Source organism: Homo sapiens, chromosome 1 (genome assembly GCF_000001405.40).
Source record: "Homo sapiens chromosome 1, GRCh38.p14 Primary Assembly".
In the NCBI taxonomy this organism is placed as follows: Eukaryota; Metazoa; Chordata; class Mammalia; order Primates; family Hominidae; genus Homo; species Homo sapiens.
Window position 1 is genome coordinate 70,514,400 of NC_000001.11, and position 6,788 is coordinate 70,521,187.

The following is a 6,788-nucleotide window of genomic DNA, read 5'->3' on the forward strand; positions in this document are numbered from 1 at the left end:
TGCCTTCCTCCATTTCACTAGTTGTTTGAACTGATTACATTGTTTGTCTATTTGTTGTTAGTACTTTGTGTTTTAAATTTTATGTAGGCAAAGCATTATTTTACAAGGCTGGGTTCAGTATGCATCTTGTCGGTTTCTAGAGACACTAAGATGAACAAGTCCCTGCTATCACAATGCTCTTAGTAATTATACTCATATAAGAAACGTTTTATATTTGAGCATGAACAATGGCTTAAGCCCTCTAGTTGGTGGGCGGAGGGGCGTGGAATTAAATACATTTGACAGTACTGAAGCTGCCTAAGCTTTTTTTTTTCCCTTTGTAAAATAAGAGTAATAATAGTATCTACTGCATACGGTTGCTTCAAGGCAGTGCTTACCAAACTTGGCTGAACTATAAGAACCACATGAGGCACTTAAAAAAAAAATACAGGCCGGGTGCAGTGGTGGCTCACGCCTGTAATCCCAGCACTTTGGGAAGCCAAGGTGGGCAGATCACAAGGTCAGGAGATAGAGACCAGCCTGGCTAACATGGTGAAACCCTGTCTCTACTAAAAATTACAAAAAATTAGTCTGGTATGGTGGCATGTGCCTATAGTCCCAGCTACTCGGGAGGCTGAGGCAGGAGAATCACTTGAACCTGGGAGGCGGAGTTTGCAGTGGGCCAAGATCGCGCCACTGCACTCCAGCCTGGGTGACAGAGCGAGACTCTTGTCTCAAAAAAAAAAAAAAAAAAAAAGAAGACGTCTAAGAACCTCCCTTGAACAGCAGATCAGAGGTGGGGCCTGGGATTCTATATTTTTAATAATCACTATAGTGGTTTTTATAATCATTCAATGTTTTGGAAACATTGTTCTAAGGCAGTAGTCCTCAGAGTGATTTCTTGGGCCCCATTCTAACCAACTAAATAAAAACCTCTGGGTCTACCAATCAATAACTTAAAAAAACCCTCCAAGTGATTTTGATATGCACTAAAGTTTAAGAACTACTGCTAAAATCTTAAATTAGGTAATTTAAGTTTGGGTTAAATTAGATAAGATTAGTTAGTACTTATCTAAAGTAATTCTAATGATTATTAATAACATAAAAAATCAGGTCAGCATTATTAGCTTCTAAAACTATGAGTGAATTTGTATTCTAGTTTTCAGGCATTTTTGCAATTTTTGTTAGTGTTGCTTTATATGTGCACCTGGAAAAAATGGTTAAAATTGCCTGACAACTTAGGTTCTAGATTTCCATAAAATATTTTTTTGTAGACAGGCTTATGACAAATCACATGGCAGATTTATGTGATTAATTGTGCATCTGTTTACTGTGCACCAAAGTGTACATGAAAACATTTGAGATAGTTTCTGCCATTAAGAAATATATAAACAAGTTGATGAGGCAAGAAACATACATACAATGTTTGACCTTGAGTGACTTATTTAAACTGTTCTCATTTTCCTTATCTCACAACATATTAAAGTAACCATCAAATTCTATTGATTCTACCTCTGAAACATTTTCCTTCCATTTCTCTCCACCTGTACAATTACTTTCCTATGTCAAGCCTTTTTATCTCAGCCTCTTTAGGGCTTCCTGCCCTAAGGTTTTTCCTTCCTTTCATAAGTGGTTTGATGTTTATAATAAAAAGATACTATCCAGATGTCTTCACACCACACTCAGTCTTCTAAAAGGCAAACCTGATCCTGTCCCTTCCCTCTTATAGCTCCCAGGGACTTCTCATTATGATAAAGTATAAACCTTGTTATTTGTCCTCAAGGACCTGTATAATCTCAATCCTCCATCACAGCCTCTTGTCAGACTGTGGGCCTGGCCTTATGTGAGCCTGTGGACAAGTTATATGTGTAGTGCCCAAAGGTCATGAGGATGACATTACAAGTTATCTGATTAAGGGAGAACCAATTGGGAGGATGGGGTGAGACAAAAAGAATTTAGAAACCACGAAAAGCTTAAATAGGCTTTGCTAGGATATATATTTAATCTTAGGTGATCAGTACATTTTTAACATAATCCTTACTTGTGGCTGGGGGTCTGGTGGGGGCAGGAAGCAGAAATAACTCCATCCTTTTTTTGGGGAGAAGACTGGCAGGAGACAGTGGATAGATCCAAACTAAGGAAGAGGCTGGGTTCAAGGCAGGGTACCATACTTTGGATATCTGGGTGTATATGCAAGGAAACTGAGGCTTGACACACACACAAAATTGCACAATGGATAAGCAAGTTGGATGGGTCTCACCCATGTATACAAAGTAAGGAATGTAAGACTTATTCCAGACCACAGAGACTATTGGATTTCAGTATATTCTTCTCCTAATTTGGTCAGAATTAGGGCAGGACATTAGACCCTGTAGGAACAAAGTCCCGTCCTGGAAGACTGAGAAAGCCAGAGTGTGACTTATAAGACAAGATGTAATTAAATGTTCAAGTAATACAGATAATGTGTCTTATTTTTCATTTTTTTAAAATTTATTTTTCTGAGATGGAGTCTCACTCTGTCACCCAGGCTGGAGCGCAGTGGCATGATCTCGGCTCACTGCAACCTCCGCCTCCGGGATTCAAGTGATTCTTCTGCCTCAGCCTCCCGAGTAGCTGGGATTACAGATGCGCGCCACCACGCCCAGCTAATTTTTGTATCTTTAGTAGAGATAGGGTTTCACCATGTTGGTCAGTCTGGTCTCGAACTCCTGACCTCGTGACCTGCCCACCTCGGCCTCCCAAAGTGTTGGGATTACAGGTGTGAGCCACCGCGCTCAGCCAAAGTGTCTTATTATATAAGAAGGAATCAGCAAGAATAGATTGCTGGGACTACCTTATGGGCATGATGGCCTTATTGAGAATCCGGATGAGAATGTAGGAGTCTTGAAAGTGGATAGGATTGAGAAAGAAAAGTGGCTCAGAGCAGTCTAAGGAATGTGAGGCGTGCAAAATTTATCAGGCCCAGAGAAACATGAGCATGAGACTTCAGTCACCATCCCCTCCTCAGGCCTTGCTATGTCCTAATATTTGTATTAGAGTAATTAATAACACTACAGTGGCCTCTAAGTGTTCAAGTGAAAGGAAGAGTCATAGGTGGCTCACTTTAAAAGCCAGAAAAGATTAATCTTAGTGAGGAAGGTATGTAAAAAACCAAGATGGGCTGAAAGTTAGACCTTTTGTGCCAGTTAGCCAAGTTGTGACTGCAAAGGAAAAGTTCTTGAAGGAAATGAAAAGTGCTATTCTGGTGAACACGTGAATAGTAAGAAAGTGAAACAGCCTTACTGCTGACATGGAGAAAGGTTTAGTGGTCTGGATAGACGATCAAACCAGTGACAACAGTCCCTTAAACCAAAGCCTAATCCAGAGCAAGGTCCTAACTCTTTTTAGTTCTATGAAGAATGAGATAAAGAAAAGCTTGAAGCTAGCAGAGGTTGGTTCATGAAGTTTAAAGAAACAGGCCATCACTGTAACATAAAAGTGCAAGGTGAGGCAGCAAGTGCTGTTGTAGAAGTTGCAGCAAGTTATTCAGAAGATCTGTCTAAGATTACTGATGAAGGTGGCTACACTAAACAACAGTTTTAATGTAGACAAAACAGCCTTCTATTGGAAGAAGATGCTATCTAGGACTTTCATAGCTAGAGAGAAGTCAGTGCCTGGCTTCAAAGCTTCAAAGGACAGGCTGACTCTCTTGTTAAGGGCTAATGCAGCTAGTGACTTAAAGTTGAAGGCAATGCTCATTTGTTATTCCTAAAATCCTAGGGTCTTTAAGAATTATGTTGAATCTACTCTGCCTGCGCTTTAGAAATGGAACCCCAAAACCTGTATGATAGCACATCTGTTTGCAACATGGTTTACTGAGTATTTTGAGTCCACTGTTAAGAACTACTGCTCAGAAAAAAAGACTTATCTCAAAGTATTACTGCTGATTGACAATGTGCTTAGTCATCCAAGAGCTCTGCTGGAGATGTGCTCAAAAGCATAGACAGCAAAAGCAAAAATAGACAAATGGGATCATATGAAACTAAAAACCTTCTGTACAGCAAAGGAAACAACAGAGTGAAGAGACAACATACAGAATAGGAGAAAATATTTGCAAACTTTGCATCTGACAAGGGATTAATATCCACAATTAAAAGGAACTCAAACTACTCAATAACAACAAAAACCCCCACAAATAATCCAATTAAAAAATGGGCAAAATACCTAAATAGACGTTTCTCAAAAGAAAATATACAGCCAGCAGATATATGAAAAAATGGTCAATATTATTAATTATCAGAGGAATGCAAATCGAAATTTTCTTAAAAATTGATGAAATTATTTAATGACACAGGAAAATGATGTGTTATAAAACAAGCTGGTTACAAGTAGTGGGTAGAGGACGACTTAATTTTTGATAAAAAATTAAAAAATATGAACATGCATACAAAAATTCGAAGTTTACCTACCAAAATATCAATAGTATTTACTTCTGCTCAGTGATTAAATATTCTTCCCTTTGTTTTTGTGTCTTCTAAAAAACATGATTATTTATGAAACAAGAAGAAAAATGATATCCTGGAGAAAGAGTAAATTACTGTTTAATAACTGTTATTTAATAGTTATTGAGTTATTTAACAGTTATTGTATGCCAGGAGTTAGGAATCTGAGAAGCCAAGCCAGGAGCCCAGCAGTCAAAGACAGAAACCCAGGACCGGTCCACCCAGGGTAGAAGTGATCAAACTCAGAGGTGGAGCATTGTTCTTTTCTTTTCCTGCTGGAATGTTATTTACCAGACTGTTTCTTCTATATTTGATGTTTTCAGTGTACTCACATTTAATGGGATTCTATGATTAACCGGCATAACAGTGAAATGATGCTAGCAAAATTGGTTTTGAATTGCTACAAAATATACTATTTCGTAGTTATATATTACACAAAACACAGTGGAAATCAAGTTCCCCCAGAACAAAAAGCCCATCTGACTACATCACTGACTTTGCTGCTTTTTTTTTCCTGAACTTTGGTCATTTTCAATCTTCACCACAAATCTATTTTTTGTTTCATGGTCCTGGAAGAGGTCATTTTTCTTACAAAGAAACTAACAATAATGTAAATTGGACATTGTCTGATGGCACTGCTTTAAGTCTATTCAAGTCAAAATCTAGGTAATGAGATATTACCTCACTCCAGTTAGAATGGCTATTATAAAAGAAAAAATAACGTGCTGATGTGGATGTGGAGAAAAAAGAACACTTACACACTGTGGGTGGAAATGTAAGTTAGCATAACCATTATGGAAAACACTATAGAAGTTACTAAAAACATTAAAACCAGAACTATCATATGACCCAGAAATCCCACTGTTGGTTACATGCCCCAAAGAAATGCAATCAGTATGTCAAAGAGATATCTACACTTCCATATTTATTACAGCATTATTCACAATAGCCAAAATATGGAAGCAACCTAAGTTTCCATCAATGGATGAAAGAATACAGAAATGTAGTGTATATATATTTTTATATATATATGATTTCATACTTTTTATAGCTGTATATACATACATACATATAATATACATACATATATTATATATATATACAGCTATAAAAGTATGAAATCTTGACATTTGAGGCAGCATGGATGAACCTGCAGGACATTATGTTAAGTGAAATAAGCCAGGCACAGAAAGACAAATATCACATGGTCTCATTCATATGTGGAATCTACAGAAGTTGATCTCATAGAAGTAGTGTAGAATAGTGGTTACCAGAGGCCGGGAGCATAGTGAGGAATAGGGAGAGATTGGGCAATGGTTTCAAAATTACAGTTAGATTGGAGAAAAAGTTCTGGCGTTCCATTATATAGTAGGGTGGCTATGATTAACAATAATGTATTGTATATTTCAAAACACTTAGAAGATTTTGAATGTCATCATGACAAAGAAATGATAAACGTATGAGGTGATGGATATGCTAAATACCTACATTTTTACACAGTGTAAACATGTATCAAAGCATCACACTGTACCCCATAAATATGTACAATTATGTGTCAATTAAAAACAAAATAATTGATTAAAAAAGAAAAATGGACAGAATTAATATAATTAATGTAATACATATTACAGCTAAAATATATTGAGTACTTCTTACGTGCAAGGTGCTAATGAAGCATAATCTTTCTTAATTTTTATAATGACATCTATTTTACTGATGAGGAAACTGTGGGTCAAAGAGATTAAATGACTTGTTAAAGCTCAAACACCTCCTGAGTAGAGAGATAGGATTCAAACTAATGTAGAATGGTAACAGAACTAGCTTCTGATAATGTAGTAAATTGCTCTTTTGTGAATGACTGCAATCCCACAGGTGGAGAAGAGAGTAAGAGAGAAAAGAAATGGCAGTTCTCACTCTCTTTCTATTTTTAAGGAGTGATGTTTGAATGACACATTAGGGGCTGGAGTGGACCCTGGTTGGATGACCATTTGGTGATTTCTTCCTAGGAATTTGGAGGATGTTGAGAGGAGTTTATTAAAGGGTTGCATATTAACTCATTAACAAATGGCATGTGGAAATGAGCTTTCCCTAGTACTTTGAAGACCAGAAATGAAGAAAAATCTGTTACCCAAAATTAATTGCTTTTGCATCCACAATGTTAATATGATTAGTCTAAACACTGAAAGGTAATTAACCTGATTAAAACTCTTGGTATATCATACAAGTTAACCAGAGAAATTATTTAGTTTAGGGAACAGTAAAGATTTTATTTCTAATTCAAGCACAGACATTCTATTTTTGATACCAAAATCCAGAAATATTTTGAGA

General features: G+C 36.8%; 1 annotated feature.

Annotated features, from left to right (window-relative positions):
• Nucleotides 3,118-3,297: an enhancer, noted in NCBI's record as "active region_1196". NCBI's record gives its function as "activates an Ori minimal core promoter by ATAC-STARR-seq in GM12878 lymphoblastoid cells {active_cell/tissue: GM12878}" and the evidence as "EXISTENCE:reporter gene assay evidence [ECO:0000049][PMID:35858748]".